The sequence below is a fragment of the Homo sapiens genome, chromosome 22, assembly GCF_000001405.40.
Source record: "Homo sapiens chromosome 22, GRCh38.p14 Primary Assembly".
Classification (NCBI taxonomy): domain Eukaryota; kingdom Metazoa; phylum Chordata; class Mammalia; order Primates; family Hominidae; genus Homo; species Homo sapiens.
This window is the reverse complement of record NC_000022.11, coordinates 26379607-26397838: the sequence shown is the minus strand read 5'-3', so window position 1 is coordinate 26397838 and position 18232 is coordinate 26379607. Positions and strand designations below refer to the sequence as shown.

Below are 18232 nucleotides of genomic sequence, written 5' to 3'. Positions count from 1 at the left end.
GAAGCTGTCTCTATAACATCGAAGTGCAAGGTGAAGTGGCAAGTGCTGATGTAGAAACTGCATCAAACTATCCAGAAGATCCAGTTAAGATCATTGAGGAAGGTAGCTACATTAAATAATGGATTTTCAGCATAGATGAAACAGCCTTCTATTGGAAGAAGATGCCATCTAGGACTTTCATAGCTAGAGAGAAGTCAATGCCTGGCTTTCAAGCTTCAAAGAACAGGCTGACTCTCTTGTTAGGGGCTAATGCAGCTGGTGACTCTAAGTTGAGGCCAGTGCTCATTTACTGTTTCAAAAATCCCAGGGCCCTTAAGAATTATGCAATCTACTACTCTGCCTGTGCATATATAACAGCACATCTGTCTATGGCATAGTTTACTACATATTTTAAACCCACTCTTGAGACCTACTGCTCAGAAAAAGATTCTGTTCAAAATATTATTACTCATTGACAATGCACCTGGTCAGCCATGGGCTTTGATGGAGATGTACAGAAGATTACTGTTGTTTTCATGCCTACTAACATAAAATCCATTCTACAGCCCATGGATGAAGGAGTAATTTTAACTTTTAAGTCTTGTTTAAGAAATACATCTTCTAAGGCTATAGCCACCACAACCCTTCCTCCCTTTGCCCCTCCCACCTTTTCTCCCTTTAGGAGTCCCCAGTGTTCATTATTTTTATCTTTATGTCCATGAGTACCCATTGTTTAGCTCCCACCGATAAGCGAGAATGTTTGGTATTTGATTTTCTCCTTTTGAGTTATTTCACTTAGAATAATGGCCTGAGTTCCATCTATGTTGCTGCAAGACATGAGTTTATTCTTTGTAATGGCTGCATAGTATTCCATGGGGCATATGTATCAATTTTTTTTAATCCCATCATCTACTGATAGACACTTGGGTTGATTCCACGACTTGCTATTGTGGATAGTATCGTGATAAATGCATGAGTGCAGGTGTCTTTCTGATGCAATAATTTCTTTTTCTTTGGGTAGACGCCCAGTAGTAGGATTTCTGAGACCCAGGGTTTTCTGCTTGTCCACCCCATCATTCTTCGTGTATTGCTTTTGTCTTCAAGCTGATCACTTCCATTGTGAGATGGCCGTGGAAGTTGTGTCACATCATGATGGGGTTCAGGGTAGGAAGACAGGGACCTAGGGCTGGAGCTGTTGCAACTGTGTCTGCCCTCTTTTATCAGGAAAGCGAATACTTTCTGAGAACAGACCCTCTACCCCAAGCCAATTTCTGCTGAGGCTCATTGGCCAAAAGGAGTCAAGAGGATCAACCCTAGCAGCAGGGGAGGCTGAAAAAAATGAGTGACAGGATTATCCTAAGTAAAGCCAACCATGATGCATTTTCTGTGGCCGGGTTCATAGTTGCTCCGAACAAAATTGGGATTCTGTTAGCAAAGGGAAAGGAAACAGATATGGCTAGGTACTTTTGAGTGTCTGCCCCAACATTCTATGACAGTTAGTATAACTTTTTCTCTTTCTTTTGCATGGGGAGGTAGGAACCCCCTCTTGGAGAGTCCCACAATGATGCAGGAGGAAATCTATCCCCTCCGGGGTCCCTCACCCCACTAAGGGGCTAATCACAGATGGAGTTGAGATTCAAACCCAAAGTTCCAGCTCTTAGCCACTGCCTAATCCATCCCTAACACCTCCCGGGATATGAGCCAAATAAGGCTGGGCTCCTGCATCCAGGGCATCCCCAGGCTGAAAGAGCCCTGCTTTGTTCTGAGCACCCTGGGAGGAAGTAGCTCTGCTCTCTGAAGGTTGGCCTTTAGTGATTTCTACCCTGGCATTCACGGGGTAGCCAGACCTCCTGGGTGCCGTTCCCTTATGTACCAGCTGTGTGAACCTGGGTAAGTGACTTCGCCTATTTGCACTTCAGACACTGCATCTATAAAAGAAGACGGCTAATTTCTTTACCCACAAAAGTAAATGAGATATTAAAGTGCATCGAATAGCTAGGAAATCTAAAAAGTATTATAGAATTTAAAAGGTGTATTTAAAAGGTAAAAAACAGCCAGGTGTGGTGGGTCACACTTGTAATCCCAACACTGTGGGAGACTGAGGTGGGAGGATGGTGTAAGTGCAGGAGTTTGAGGTTGCAGTGAGCTTGTGACTATACCGTTGCTCTCCAACCTGGATGACAGAGCCAGACTGTGTCTCTAAAATAAAAACATATATAAAATAAAATACAAAAAGCAAAACAAGCCGGGTGTGGTGGCTCATGCCTGTAATCCCAGCACTTTGGGAGGCTGAGACAGGTGGATCACCTGAGGTCAGGAGTTCGAGATCATCCTGGCCAACATGGTGAAACCCCGTCTCTACTAAAAATGCAAAAATTAGCTGGGTGTGGTGGCGGGTGCCTGGAATCCCAGCTGCTCCAGAGGCAGAGGCAAGAGAATTGCTTGAACCCAGGAGGCGGAGGTTGCAGTGAGCCGAGATCACACCACTGCAGTCCAACCTGGGTGACAGAGCAAGACTCTGTCTCAAAAAAGAAAAAACAAACAAACAATAACAAACAAACAAAAAAACCAAAACAAACAAAAAATAATTAGCTAGCAGTCAACAAATGCCAGCAATTATTATTATTGTCGTTACTGTGTTATCCTGACAGGGATCTCTTTGGTCACTTTTTTGGGGTCCTTTCTCTCTCCTGGCCCAGGTCTCTCTATCTTGTTTTGTTTGTCTGAAGCACATCTACTAGTGAGGTAGGTTCTGATCTCAGGAGAAGCTCTGTCTCTTCACTATTATTCTAAACTTGGAGGACAGCCAGGCCTGGGAAACAGGATCTGGGTTTCTGAGGCATCTGGGTCATGGAGTGACCTTTCCATCTTTTTTCTTTCCTTTGTTTGTCCTTCCTCGGAATCCCCATTCTTTTACTGACTGACAAGCCCATGAATGATCAGCTGAGCTCTGGCCCTGCCAGCTGTCCCAGGTTCACTGAATAGGCTTCTCCCTATGGGGCCTGTCAGAAGCCTAGCCCTCTGTCTGCTTTTTCCTTTCTTTCTTTTCAATTTTTTTTTTTTTTTGAGATGGAGTCTCACTGTCTCACCCAGGCTGGAGTGCAATGGTATGGTGTCGGCTCACTGTGACCTCCATCTCACAGTTTCAAGCGATTCTCCTGCCTCAGCCTCCTGAGTAGCTGCGACTACAGGTGCCCACCACCACATCTGGCTAATTTTTGTATTTTTAGTAGAGATGGGGTTTCACCATGTTGGCTATGCTGGTCTCGAATTCCTGACATCAGGGAGTCCTCCCGCCTCAGACTCCCAAAGTGCTGGGATTACAGGCGTGAACCACCACGCCCAGCCCTTTTTCAAGTTTTTTGAAACAGTGTCTCACTCTATTGCCCAGGCTGGAGTGCAGTAGTGCAGCCATAGCTCACTGCAGCCTCAATCTCCTGGGCTCAAGCGATCCTCCTGCCTCAGCCTCTCGAGCAGCTGGAAGTACAGGTGCATACCACCATGGCTGGTTAGCAGCCCTCAGTTTTCCAATGGGAAAAAATTGGACCCCTAATGGAAAGGGGCAGCCCGACATGCACCTAGAATGCTTCCCTGACAAGCCTCCCCCACTTCTCTGTGTGTTGTGCATCCTCCATGAAGGTAAAGGGTGAGCATGGAGCCCCCAAATCCTCCTCCTTGGAAACTACTCAAACTATTGGAGTCCCCATGTGGCCATCAGAGGGAGTGTCACACATGAGGTCCACTCTTGTCTCTCCCCTACTTCCCTGGGTTGAGGTCTGCCCCTGCAGCCTCTTCAGCCCCTCCCACTATGTGACCCCCCTCTCTCCAGCCTCCAGCCACACTGGTTGTCCCTCGGAGGTGCCAAGCACCTGTTGTCCTCCCTCCACATCCTCCATCTGCCCTGAAAACTTTCTCTGACATTCCTTTACTGCTCCACTCTTGCTTTAGGTCTCAATACCAATCACTTCCTTGACCACTCACCCCCAATCACAAGTCCCCCTGGTGCACCCCTGTATCTTTCATCCTTGGCACATTTCCTAGCTTGTGCTCATATGTTTATTTGCGTAGGTAATTGATTAGCGTCTGTCTTCCCAGTAGATTATAAGATCTAAACGAGTAAGGACCATGTTTTATTCTCTGCTATAGCCTCAGATCCTTGTGCATGGCCAGCCACAGCATACTACTACATGCTACATACTACATGCTACATGCCACATGCTACAGTCAGTCATGCTGCTGTCTGCTACAGTCACGTGTACTTAACCAGAGGACACTACAGTGCTACTACAAGTCATGTGTCACTTAAAGACAGAGATACGATCTGAGAAATGTATCATTAGGCAATTTCAATCATTGTGTGAACATAATAGAGTGTATTTACATAAACCTAGCTGCTATAGGACACTATACACCGAAGCTATATGGCATAGCCTATTGCTCCTAGGCTACAAACCTGTACAGCATGTTACTATACTGCATACTGTAGGCAATTGTAACATAATGGTAAATCTTTCTGTGTCTAAACATAGAAAAGGTACAGTAAAAATAAAGCATTATAATCTTATGGTACCACTGTCATATATGTGGTCCATCATTGACTAAAACATTGTTACATGGTACATGACTGTATATATATGTGCATGTATATATACCTAACATATATATATATATACACACACACATACATATAAAAACTTCTAGCTGGCCCGGTGTGGTGGCTCACACCTGTAATCCCAGCACTTTGGGAGGCCAAGGCGGGCAGATCACCTGAGGTCGGGAGTTTGAGACCAGCCTGACCAACACGGAGAAACCCCGTCTCTACTAAAAATACAAAATTAGCCAGGTGTGGTGGCGCATGCATGTAATCCCAGCTACTTGGGAGGCTGAGGCAGGAGAATTGCTTGAACCTGGGAGGTGGAGGTTGCGGTGAGCCGAGATCGCGGCAATGCACTCCAGCCTGGGCAACAAGAGCGAAACTCTGTCTCAAATAAATAAATTAATTAATAAATACCAAAAAACTTCTAGCTACCTTCTCAATGATCTTAGAACAATAGCCAATACAGTTCTTGGCAAACAGAAAAGGTCTTTGAAGTTTCAAATATGTCTAGAGATCATGCAAAGTGATTAGTTGGTTAATCAAATAAAAATATGACACTGATACTATAGAATACAATAACATGGGAGCATTTATTCATAAGATTCTAAGTTACGGGTGCTCTGTACTTATAAAATCCTAGCCTATATATTATGATTCTGTTGAGCTTCAGTGTGAATAAACCCCCAGTCTCAGAAACATCTGTAGTTAAACTATAGAGAGAGATGATGGGATGGCTGGAGAAGAGTGACAGGAACATCTCCAGCTGGTATTTTGGACTTTCTAGGGGAGGCTTCTTTTTTTTTTTTTTTTTTTTGTTTTTGGAGATGGAGTTTTGCTCTGTTGCCCAGCTGGAGTGCAGTGGCGTGGTCTCAGCTCACTGCAACCTCCACCTCCCGGTTTTAAGCAATTCTCCTGTCTTAGCCTCCCAAGTAGCTGGGACTACAGGTACCTGCCACCACGCCTGGCTAATTTTTGTATTTTTAGTAGAGATGGGATTTCACCATATTGGTCAAGCTGGTCTCGAACTCCTGACCTCAGGTGATCCACCCACCTCGGCTTCCCAAAGTGCTGGGATTACAGGTGTGTGCCACCACGCCCAGCTAATTTTTAGTAGAGATGGGGTCTCACCATGTTGGCTAGGGTGGTCTCGAACTCCTGGCCTCAAGTGATCCACCCACCTCGGCCTCCCAAAGTGCTGGGATTACAGGCATGAGCCACCGCGCCTGGCTGAATTCTTTGAAGGACACCTAGGATTGCATGGATTCTGATTGGCCCTATGGTGACTGTGCCTTCCTGGGTACAGAGGGCATCTCTCCAAGCTCTCCTGTCCTGCTCTGAGCTTCAGGCATGGCCAGTATGTTCAATGGGAGCACTGTGGGATACAGTTGAAGGATGGACATTGACTCCCTTTATGGCTGGGGCTTTTTGGAATTCCCAGGCGGCCATTACACATTTGAAAAAAGTCAGCTCTTTGTCTTCTTACTCTTCCACAGTGCCCCCAGAGATTAAGAGCCATGGAAATTCTTGTCTCTCAAGAAGGGCTCATCTCTTTCTGGAATTTAAGTAATTTGGGTGCGTTTGTATCCCCAGATCTCTGACAGCTTTGGGGTTTTTGAAAAAACTTTTTTTTTTTTTAAGCTTAACTGGCTTGTTCTCAGGGTTGGGTGGAAGCAATGATTTCTTGAGCCTTTTATGTTGCAACTGGAGGCAAATGTTCAATAAACAATTTTTGAATGAATAAATATGATTCTGACCTCCTTACGGGAACTTGGCATTACCAGGCTCAGGAGAGAGATTCTGATATTTTTGCTGATCTCTATTTCATAACCAACACAGTCACAAAACATCACAGCTAGTTTTTCTATTCTTTGTGTATGTGTGTGTGTGCTGAATATTTTGTTGCATTTCACACCAGAGGAAAGACTGCAGATGGAACTGTCTTTTTTATTTCTCACCCCTTGGTCCTCTGCCCAATTGCTGGGGAACAGATTGAACTTAAGGATTTAAGAACAGCAATTTTGGTGCCACTGCTTGGCCAAATTGTTTTCTTTGGGCTGTGTCGCTCTAATTCCCATCAATATTTGTCTTCTGTCCTTTCTTCTGGGCATCATCAGGAGAATTGGTTTGTCAAATGGATACAGGCCTGGGAGAAAACATCAACTAAAAAGACACCAGTTTTGCCCGCTTCACATCACTTTCTGGAAAGGCTGTAATGTGATCTTTTTGATGGCTGACTCTAAATCCTATGTAATGTGTAGGAAACATTTGATGGTATTTGGGTATATTAGGGCCAAGGAAACTCACCCAAAAGGCATTTTCTCTGTTGCTTAAGGATGGTAGGGGACACTACTGTAATCAAAGCCTTGTTTTATACTGTCAATTCAACTTTTTTGTCGATTTAGGAAACAATCCGTGAGGAAGCAAACAAAGGTGAATGAATTCTCATGCGGGATCATGGCATGAAAACATATAATTGTCCATAAGGTCTTGCCACTGTAAATGTGCCCGATCTTATCTGATCTTGGAAGCTAAGCAGGATCGGGCCTACTTAGTGTCTTGGATGGGAGACTGCCTAGGAGTACAAAAGCCTACAAGTGCTGTAGGCTTTTGAAAAAACAAAACAAAAACACACACACTTATCTTACACTGCCAATCTGTGTCTGCATGTTAATAGACTTCCAGTGTATAAAGCGTAGATCAAGAAGCAGTTACAAAACCCTTAGGTTACCTGCAAACCCTCGTTTAAAAAAACTCTCTTTCCTACAGGAAGCTATACAAGAAAGATGTGGGGCCGGGTACAGTGGCTCATGCCCGTAATCCCAGCACTTTGGGAGGCTGAGGCATGTGGATCACTTGAGCTCAGGAGTTCAAGATCAGCCTGGGCAATATGGTGAAACCCCATCTTTACAAAACAAACAAACAAACAACAACAACAACAACAACCCCCCCCCCCCAAAACAAAACTTAGCTGAGCTGGGCATGGTGGCAGGTGCCTGGAGTCCAGCTACTTGGGAGGCTGAGGCAAGAGAATCACTTGAACCCTGGAGGCGGAGGTTGCAGTGAGCCGAGATTGCGCCACTACACTCCCGCCTGGGTGACAGAGTGAGACCCTGTCTCAAAACAAAAAACAAAAAAAGAAGTGCACAAGGTAGACTCTCTCTGCCCAGAGTAGAAGTGGTTTAATCAAAAAAATTTTAAGCACAATTAAAATCCTTGTAATTCTATCTTTTCTCCTTGCTGACCTCACCAATGGCCACTGTTTCACCCTGTCATGTTCCAAAACTTTGGCATTAAGTACACTATCAATTTCTTTCCTTCCTTTTTATTTTTATTTGTTTATTTATTTATTTATTTTTGAGAGACAGTCTCACTCTTGTTGCCCAGGCTGGAGTGCAATGGCGTGATCTCGGCTCACTGCAACCTCCACCTCCTGGGTTCAAGTGATTCTTCTGCCTCAGCCTCCCCAGTAGTTGGGATTATAGGCGCCCACCACTATGCCTGGCTAATTTTTGTATTTTTAGTAGAGATGGGGTTAGCCAGGCTGGTCTTGAATTCCTGACCTCAGGTGACCCGCCCACCTGGGCCTCCCAAAGTGCTGGGATTACAGGTGCGAGCCACCACACCCGGCCTCTTTCCTTCTTAACACACCTATTTTGCTTATTTTAAGGGTAAGCATTTAGAGGACAAAGACAAAATGTAACCTCATCAAGACTGAAGACTGCCACTCCCTTTTGTTGAGTTCTTTCATCCATCCTTTCCTAGTCTCTAATAGCCCCATTTTCATCCTCTTACAATTCCCTCCTAGCTAATAGTTTTGGTCCCATTAGTATTAGAGGTGATACAATGAATCGTGAAAGCAAAACTAACCAGAAATTTGTTACTCAGATTTTTTTCTTTTTTGAGGAAAGATCCAAGCTCTTAAAAACACAAATTGCTGATGTGGTAATATTTTTTTTGCATCTCAAATATTATTACTGACATGGAAACATTGGTTTCAGAAATGTCAATTGAAAAATTTCTAAACGTTAGGGACTTTTTTTTTTTTTTAAAGAAATGGGCAAAAGAAAAAAGAATTAAAAAAAAACAAAGAAATGAGCTAGCGTGCTTTCTTCTGAAAACACTGTTTAAATCTGTATGTTAATTGAAAGACACTATTATCGTCAGAAGGGGAAGGGTTAATTTTCAATGAAATTGCTTTGAAATCTTAGGCTTTCTTTTTTTTATTTTTTTGGTCAGTCAGCTTTCTCAGGTTGAATGACATCTTTAGTCTTTTAAGTTTTGATCCCACATTTACTTATATTTTTAGACTTTCCCACATTTGACCAACTTACCAAGGTGTTGGCATCACAATAAGCTGCATTTTTAGGTGCTAAAAATATTTGTTGATGAATTGATTAACAATTGACTTGGGCAATAAGTAGGTGTAAAAGATGCTGTACGTACTTTGCCCATATTCCTTTGGTAGTTGCTTTCCCATGAACTGTACTTGATGCTTTCTACCTGCAGGCATAGATAACTCTCTTTCTCTGAGCACAGGGAATCCCAGAGGTGCCTAGGAGTTAATGCCTCCCAGAAACAACTCAATCAGTGACAGTTGGGAACTGGTGGATAAATACCCCAGCTCCCTCACTGCTCAGAGAGAACAACCCTGAGGCTTTTTCTTCACCATCTCACAGAATTATCCAGCGTGATGGATTCCCAGTTGTCCCCAGGAGTAACTTGCTTGACCAATGCACTTTTTATTGGCTTATTTTCCTTTCTAGTCTCACTTCACCACTCCTCTACTGGTACTCTGTGGAATTGCCTAGCAAATACATTATTTGCTCTTGAATTTTTATCTGAAGGTTTGCTTCTGGGGGAGCCCAACCTAAGATATGGTGGTAAGTCAAATATGCCTATATCTTAAGAGTTGTGAAAACATTCTTCTGTTTCTCTCTGAGAAATAGCAACGTCATTGCAAAACTTTAGCATGGACACCATAGCTCATTAGAGTGGTCACCTTGCATTTATAGGGCTTTGGGAGTGTGTCAGTTAATTTTTGTCAATTTGACTCAGCCATGGGATGTCCAGCTATTTGGTCAGACATTATTCTGAGTGTCCTCATGAGGGTGTGTTGGGATAAGATTAACATTTGAATTGGTAGACTAAGTAAAGCAGATTGCCCTTCCTAATGTAGAACCCTCATCCCATCAGTTGAAGGTCTGAATATAACCCAAAGGCTGACCCTCCCATCAGTAAGAGGGAACCCCTCCTGCCTGACTGCTTTGAGCCAGGACATTGTTCTTTCATGACCTTTGGATTTGAATGGAAGTATCTGCTCTTCTTGTGTCTTATGCCTGCTGGCTTCCAGACCAGAACTTACATCGTTGGTTCTTCTAGGTCTCAGGCCTTAGGACTTGGACTGGAACTACATATCAGCTTCCTGGGTTTCCAGCTTCCTGGCTCCAGATCTTGGGACTTCTCACTCTTCATAATAGCATGACCCAATTCCTTATACTCTCTCTCTCTCTCTCCACACACACACACACACACACACCACACACACACACACACACACACACACTCACTTTATTAGTTTTGTTTCCTGTGGAAGTAGCTTTGGAACTGCGTAATGAGTAGAGGCTGGAAGGGTTTTGAGATGCATGCTAACCTACGTTGCCATGAACAGAATGTTGGTAGAGATATGAACATTTAAGGTCATTCTGCACTTTGGGAGGCTGAGGCAAGTGGATTACTTGAGCCCAGGGGTTCGAGACCAGCCTGGACAATGTGACGAAACCCCATTTCTACAAAAAATACTAAACTTAGCTGGGTGTGGTGGTACATGCCTGTGGTCCAGCTATTTGGGAGGCTGAGGTAGGAGGATCAATTGAGCCCAGGAGGTCCAGGCTGCAGTGAGCTGTGATCACTTCATTGCACTCTAGCCTGGGTGACAGAGTGAGACCCTGTCTCAAAAAAAAAAAAAAAAGGTCATTCTGGTCTGCTGAGATCTCAGACAGAAACTAGAAACATGTTATTTGAAACTGGAATTAAGGCAGTCTTAGTTGTAAGTGAAAAAGAACTTAGCTGAACTTCGTCCTAGTGTTTTATGGAAGGTACAATTTGTGAACAATGAAACTGGAGACGGTAGTCCCCCCTTATCCATGGTTTTGCTTTCTGCATTTCAGTTACCCAAGGTCAACTGCCATCTGAAAATCTTAAATGAAAAATTCCAGAAATAGACTGGCCTCAGTGGCTCACGCCCGTAATCCTAGCACTTTAGGAGGCTGAGGCCAGTGGGTCACCTGAGGTCAAGAGTTTGAGACCAACCTGGCCAACAAGTTGAAGCCTCGTCTCTACTAAACATACAAAAATGAGCTGAGCATGGTGGCAGGCACCTGTAATCCCAGCTACTCGGGAGGCTAAGGCAGGAGAATCGCCTGAACTCTGGAGGCAGAGGTTGCAGTGAGCTGAGATCACACCATTGCACTCCAGCCTGGGCAACAGAGCAAAAACTCTGTCTCAAAAAAAAAAAAAAAGAAAGAAAATTCCAGAAGTAAACAATTTGTAAGTTTTACATTGTGCCCCATTCTTCTGAGTAGCATGATAAAATCTTGCACTATCTCATTTTGTCCTGCCTGGGACATGAATCACCCCTTTGTTTAGCATATCCATGTTGTCTATGCTACCTGCCTGCCCATCACTTAGTAGCCATCTTGGTTGTCAGATGGACTATTGTGGTGTTTCAGGGTTTGTGTTCAAGTAACCTTTACTTTACTTAATAATAGCCCCAAAGTTCAAGAGTAGTGATGCTGGTATATTGTTACAATTTTTCTATTTTAATATTGTTCTTCATCTCTTTATGTACCTAATTTATAAGTTAGACTTTATTATAGATATGTATGTATATGAGAAAACATAGTATATATAGAGTTCAGTACTATCTGTGGTTTCAGGCATCCACTTACATCAGGTAAGAGGGAACTACTATATTTAGCTGAGGAAATTCCAAAGCAAAGTGTTGAAGGAGTGGCTTGGTTCCTCCTGACTGCTTATAGTAAAATGTGAAAGCAGAGAGATTAATTAAATAAGTGAGAAGTCACGCCTATAATCCCAGCACTTTTGGAGGCTGAGGCAGGTGGATCACCTGAGGTCAGGAATTTGAGACCAGCCTGGCCAACATGTTGAAACCCTGTCTCTACTAAAATACAAATATTAGCTGGGCGTGGTGGCATGCACCTGTAATCCCAGCTACTTGGGAGGCTGAGGCAGGAGAATTGCTTGAACCTGGGAGGCAGAGGTTGCAGTGAGCCTAGATTGTGCCACTGCACTCCAGCCTGGGTGACAGATCAAGACTCTGTCTCAAAAAAAAAAAAAAGTAAGAAATAACAATAGAATTCTCAGCTCCCAACTGACAGAATGAATTTCCTCTTGGCCAAGAAGACCCCAGAGAAACTGAAGCTGAGTGTCTGGCCATGATGGGATGGAGGTCAGACACACCTCATTATCCCCTTGCCCTCAATAATTGCCATCAGTCTTTCTTCTCTAAGGGCTAAACAGAAACCAGCCCTTTCAAAAGACTCCACGCTGAGAATGTAGATAACTAGCTTATTTCCCCAGGTACAGAACAAAGACAAATTGAGATTAATCATTTCTTCGCCCCTCCCTGAGATGTCTGCTTCCTCTATTCCTTTTTTCTTCAAACGTTCATCGTATCTTATGTAAAACATAAATTTGTTGGGCACTAACTAAAGTCTCTCACAACTATGTAATCATTTACTTCATTGTCCCCTCCTTCCTTTTAAGGAAAATGTAGAACTACTAAACCTCTTAAGAACCTCTCTGGAAAATACAGCCACAGAAGTGTCTGTGGCTCACATTTCTCCTGGGTGCACCCTTCAGCTGGCTCCATAAAGCTTGATTGATTGAGACACCTGCCTCCATCACTCATCTTGATTGTCAGAAAGAAACAATTAAGCAAAAAGGAAGCAGAACTTGAGGATGTGGCAAAATTTCAGCCTATCCATATTGCAAAAAAAAAAAAAAAAATAGAACGCTTGTTCTGAAGAGAACACTGAGGATGTGTCTGAACAATCACTGGTGAAGAGATCACCAGGCCAGGAATGGCAGCTCATGCCTGTAATCCCAGCACTTTGGGAGGCTGAGGTGAGGGGATCACTTAAGCCCAGGAGTTCGAGACCAGCCTGGGCAACATAGTGAGACCCTGTCCCTATAAAAAAAAAATAAAAATTTAAGTAATAGAGATCATGAGTACAACTCATGGACTTCAGCAGCTATCTTGGCAGAATCCAGGAATGGAATTATACCAGTGAAGACACTGCCAGTTTGAACTAAAGGGGGTAGAGAAAGCAGGACAGAATGAAGGATAATTCTCAACCTTCTTGGAGTCTACAGAACCAAACAGTAGAGCCATCAGCTGCGAATGTGTGCTAAGAATGAACCAGAAGGTGATTAAGGAATCATCAGAGGTGCCACTGCTACCATAGGTCCCAGAATCAAGGTGTTTTCTCCTCTGTTTCCAAGGGCAGGGCTGTGTCTCTGGTTTCAGCCAGGACAATCCCATCCAGTGCCTCAGGAGTGGGCTGCTCTCTGAAGAAAGCTGTGTGAACAGGGCAGCTTGAAAGAGCCGTGGAGGTGATGCTGCCACCTTAGTGGGCCTTTAGGGCAGAGCATCAAACCAAAGAAGCTTATTCTCAAGCCTTGAGATCTAATGGAATTTGCCTTGCTAGGTTTTGCACTTGCTTGAAACCCGACACTCCTTTCCTCTTTCCTTATTTCTCCCTTTTGGCACAGCAATGTCTATACTATGCCTGTCCCACCATTGTGTTTTGGAAGCACATAACTTGTATGGGGTCATAGATTTACAGATAGAGAGCAGTTTGCCGCAGGATAAATCATACCTTGAGTCTCACTCATACCTGATTTAAATGATATTTAGATGAGACTTTAGATGAGTCGATGGTGTTATGAGTTAAGACTTTGGAGGCTGTTGGAGTGGATGTATTTTGCGTGCAAGAAGGACATACATTTTGGGGGTGCCGGGTGTGCAATGCTATAGACAGCTGCGTCCCTCCAAAATTCATGTGTTAAAGCTCTAACCCCCAATGTGACCGTAGTTGGAGATAAGGCCATTAGCAGGTAATTAAGGCTAAATAAGGTCATAAGGGTTGGACCTCATTTGATAAGACTGTGGCCTTTTAAGAAGAGGAACAGCTGCCTCTCCCTCTTTCTCTTCCTCTCCTCCCCTCCTTCCTGCCTTTTCCCTTCCCTCCACTGTGTGAAGACACAGCAAAAAGGTCATCTATAAGCCAGGAAGAGAGCTCTCACCAGGAACTGAATTGGCTGGTACCCTGATCTTGGACTTCTCAGCCTCTAGAACTTTGAGAAACAGGTTTCTGTTGTTTAATTCATCTAGTCTGTGGTATTTTCTTATGACAGGCTGAGCTAAGAGAGGGAGGATGGTGGAACATTGGAAGATGGCAGTGCCGTCAAACCCATCTTGTCCCAAACATCCCTTGAAGGTCCCAGAACCATTCCAGAGTGGGATGTCCTGTCTTAGCATTCAAAGTATCTGTAGGTGTTACCCCAACCCAATCCCCAGAAACTGGAAACATTCCACTTGGTGCCATCCTGAAGTGTCTGTAACAAAAATTCTACACACTTGAGTCTTTTTCATCTGTTTTATTAGCATCAATATATACAAAGTGGAAAATGACTTAATTTCATTATTCTAGCTTAGAAAGTTTGTTTTGCTTTTTATTTTGTTTGGCGATAAAATGGAAATGAAAATTTCCCAGGAGAATGCCTACCTTTGGGGGTGCTGAACAACTCAAATAATATCTGACCTCAAATGACTCGTCATGCCTAGTCAAGGACATAGGAAGATCATGCCCTTCGGATTCACTCGAAGGGCATTTTTGCCTGAGGCCCGTGCCTCAGCCTAAAGCTACCCACATATTTGCCAAATCACTACTTGTTATACAACCCTCCTGATTATGCAGATGCTTTGCTTCCTTCTGGGCTGTTTGGCAGTCTTCAAAGCTATCAGCCTGAGGTTCTGTAGGCTCTCCAAGGGGTGAGCTTCAAAGGATCATAGTTAAAGCACATCTATGAAACTAAGTAAGAATGGCCATCAGGTAGCAATCAGAATACTTATGTTAGCTAAATAATTCTACAAAAAAAAAAAAAAAAAAGCAAAAAGCTGAGCTCCAAGCTAAAGAGGGTTGAGTGTGTGCATTTTTAAAGCACAGGGTGGTAGCTGACAGATACAGCTTATATGAATTAGCATGTAATACACACCATCACATGCATTCTCTGAAGCTCACAATCTCTGTAAACGTATTTCCCCACTGTTTTAAAAACAAAGAGTGGCTTGTAGGAAGGCTCAGTCCATTCTCGAGTTTCTCAAGAGTGTATCCTATTCAAAAATATTTAATCCCAATGGGTTTTAATATTGATCTTATAAAAACAGACGTACATGAGCTGTAATGAGATGCCTTGCACATTTTTGGCACTATTTTTTTTTACCTTTACGTATTACAAATACACATTCAGATATTTTAAAAAGAAAAATAGACACCAACCTGTCTTTTCAATCACACTGTACATTGTTGAACTCGTATGATCTGTCTCTAGGCTAAAACAAACTTTTAAAACACGGTTACGGGTGTGGTACTACTAAGACAGAACTGAGACACTGGTCTTCTGAAAAAAACAACAATGACAACAACAACAAAAAAACAAAAAACACAACGCCTTTTCTATCTTTCCAATAGTCAATAAGAACATCTGGGGTGTGGCCTGGCTAGTTTTGGGGATAGGGTTAGAATAAAGATTTATATTTTGTCAGTCTTTATAAAAGGCAAATGTTTAGTTTTCACATAACCATAACACGTTGTAAAATCAAATATTATTCATAGAGTTCTTCATTCCAGGTGACCCAGGGTTAGGGTTAGAATAAGCATCAAATAAAATGGATTGAGTTCTGCCTTTTAAGGAAAGGTTACATTATTTGTGTTGTTATCTTTCTCCAAACATGACATTGTCCACTAATGGCCTAGAACACTTCTCTGGTTCTTGCATTAAATGGGGCTTTGGGTCCTGGAAAGCAGCCTTTAGCTATTTCTTGCCATGGACCACACACTCATGCCTTCAGGAGTATATGTGCAAGATTCTTTTCTGGCAGAAGGAAAATATTCTGGTCTTAGACCCCCAAGATTGAAGTCTGAGTTCCTGCTGTCAAGGAGGGTACATGTGTGCCTAAAATCAACTTTCCCTATCTTGCTTAAGATGTTTCCAATGTAACCACCAAAACATAGACTCCCTGCTATTCTCCCTATGGCCAGAAAGGTCTTTTCTTGTTTGAAAACCAGCAGACTTGAAACAATTCCAGAGAGAATGGGAGGGCACCAAAGAGGGTTCCAAATGCCACTGTGCCCGTCTGTCTGTCCAAGCCATTGACTGTCACCACCATGTCACCGGTCCCAGGAAGGTGAATCTGCTTCACACATAGTATTTCTTCCATGCACCCGCACCCTCCACCTTCTCTTTATACCTGTATTTAGAAAAGAATCTTCCCAAGAGTTACACACTCACCGGTTTCACTGGGTTGGGGGAAAACAGACCCTGATAAAATAAGAGGAATGCCCGTGTGACTAGATGTGGGGCTATGGAATCCTTTCTGAATGAAATTCCTCTCTCTGTCTTCATTGATGTTCAGATCAGATGATACAGGATTCCACTGGATGGTCTGCTGTGATTTAAAATCCCCTGCCCCTGTTCTCTGCACCTCCTCAGTCAGCATTCACACCACCCTCCAACATCCAGACAGCTTTGGAGAATAGAAAAATAGTTTCTTCTCATGGGACCCTCCCGCCCCCTGAAATACTTGATGGCAAGTATATTCTGAAGATGACACCTTTTAGAGAATCAGTGCACTTGAGTCTCCTCTATTTTGAGGGCTGAGATATTCCAGAACCCCAGGAGAAACCAGAGCTCACCCCTGCATTTCCAAACATGGCACCTCCTTTTTCCCATCACAAATCCTTGTCACTGTATGAGTGGGGCCGCTGGTGCCTCCCAAGCCTGTGTGTTTATTACCACAGCTTGAGAGTGGCTTGCTGAACATGGTGATCGATTCTGGCACTTGTAGCATAAATTACACGCTCTTTCATCATTGAAAGAGTGTCAAAGAAAAGAACATTTTAACCCAATTCCCTTACCCAATGATCCCCCTCACCCAATTCTTCATTGGAACTCTCAAATCTCTCATTTGTCTCTGAAAAATTGCCTTTGGTCGTTTATCACCTTTCTAGAAAGAAAACGTTTTCTTGTTTTGTCACTGTCCAGCGAGGCCAGAGTGGTAAAAGACAATGTTTATATAACACCTTTGCTACCTTCAGAAGAACCGTGAGAGGGAGGGGCTGTGGAAAAACCTTTCAGAAGCTGGCAAAATGGGAAGAGAGGACACAGAATTTGTTTAGGAGCACAGCTCTCCAAATGGGTTTAAGTACCCATGCTAAATTCCAACCCAAACTAAGCCAACAAGAAATACCCTTTCCAACCTAATCTTGGGACTTAGATTTGTACTGAAAACATCATGGGCATGGTTCCCAAAGATGCATGCAATTCAATGCAGCCTTAGCATGGCATTGCTGATGGGAGAAACTCCATCTGCTGTTTTGTGTTTTTGCTGCCGCGGTTTGCCATTTTGCAAGTCTTCCACCTGCCTTCAGAATTGAGGCTGTAACATGAATTTGGCTGAGGCCGCGAAACATCCAAACCCACACCTATTTCACTTTTAAATATAATAAATACAGGGAAGAAAACAGTAAACCTTTGATAAAGAGTCTAAACAAAAGACAGTCGACATTCTGGGGTTTCAATCAAGTGCCACATGGTCTCTGGATGAATGTCTCGAGGAGATTGTGGTTGAGTTCACAAGTCCCCTTCTCAAGTGTAGCTCTCTTTAGATAGAAACCTCATACTCTCTGGTTTCCTGCAAGAGAGAGAAGCACGGATTTGTCAAACGCTTGTGTGGTAGAGTGATATACATAGGGGGATGCAGTTCTTTGCACCTCTGTATGTCCATGCCCTTGGTCGTGACTTTTCAGTGCCCTCCCACTCTGACCCTGATTTGCTTTTGCCAATGGGTTATAAGGAAATGGCGTACAACAGCTGCTTGAAACATGCTTGTGTGTTTCTGCTCACATCCTGTCTATCTGTCATCACCAAGAACAGGGCATGCCCTGGTAGGCTTTAGTCTCTTCAGGAAAATGAAGGACACACAGAGCAGAGCTGAGTCACCCATCCATCAACCAGCCAATGCCAGGATTACCATCCAGCTGAAATAAGCCTAAAACGCTGTCCCACAGACTGATGAGCAAATGAATGCTTGTTGCATTAAGCCATTGAGTTCAGAGATCTTTGTTACTCAGCATTACTATAGTTCTAGGTCACTGATACACTCTACTAATAAGTATTCATTCATGTCTAGTCTCTAAAATTCTCCTTTATTTCAGTCTGACCTTTTCCCATGATTTCAAAGCAAGCTACATAGAATGCAAAATAACATATGCCCTGATCTACCATTGCCATGTGAAACGACTACAACATGGGGGGTAGTTTGATTTCTTCAATATTTATGGAGTGTGAGTA

General features: G+C 43.3%; 1 protein-coding gene and 1 pseudogene across 6 annotated transcripts in view; one reads left to right on the top strand and one right to left on the bottom strand.

Annotated features, from left to right (window-relative positions):
• Positions 7063-7172, top strand: RNA5SP495 (RNA, 5S ribosomal pseudogene 495; annotated as a pseudogene).
• SEZ6L (seizure related 6 homolog like) overlaps positions 14243-18232 on the bottom strand; it is a 214135-nt gene continuing 210145 nt past the window's right edge. For all 6 annotated transcript variants that reach the window (NM_021115.5, NM_001184773.2, NM_001184774.2 and 3 more), the window contains one exon: positions 14243-17573. In NM_021115.5, the coding sequence (NP_066938.2) occupies positions 17544-17573 (30 nt within the window). In that variant the 3' untranslated portion in view covers positions 14243-17543. The remainder of the gene's footprint in view (positions 17574-18232) is intronic.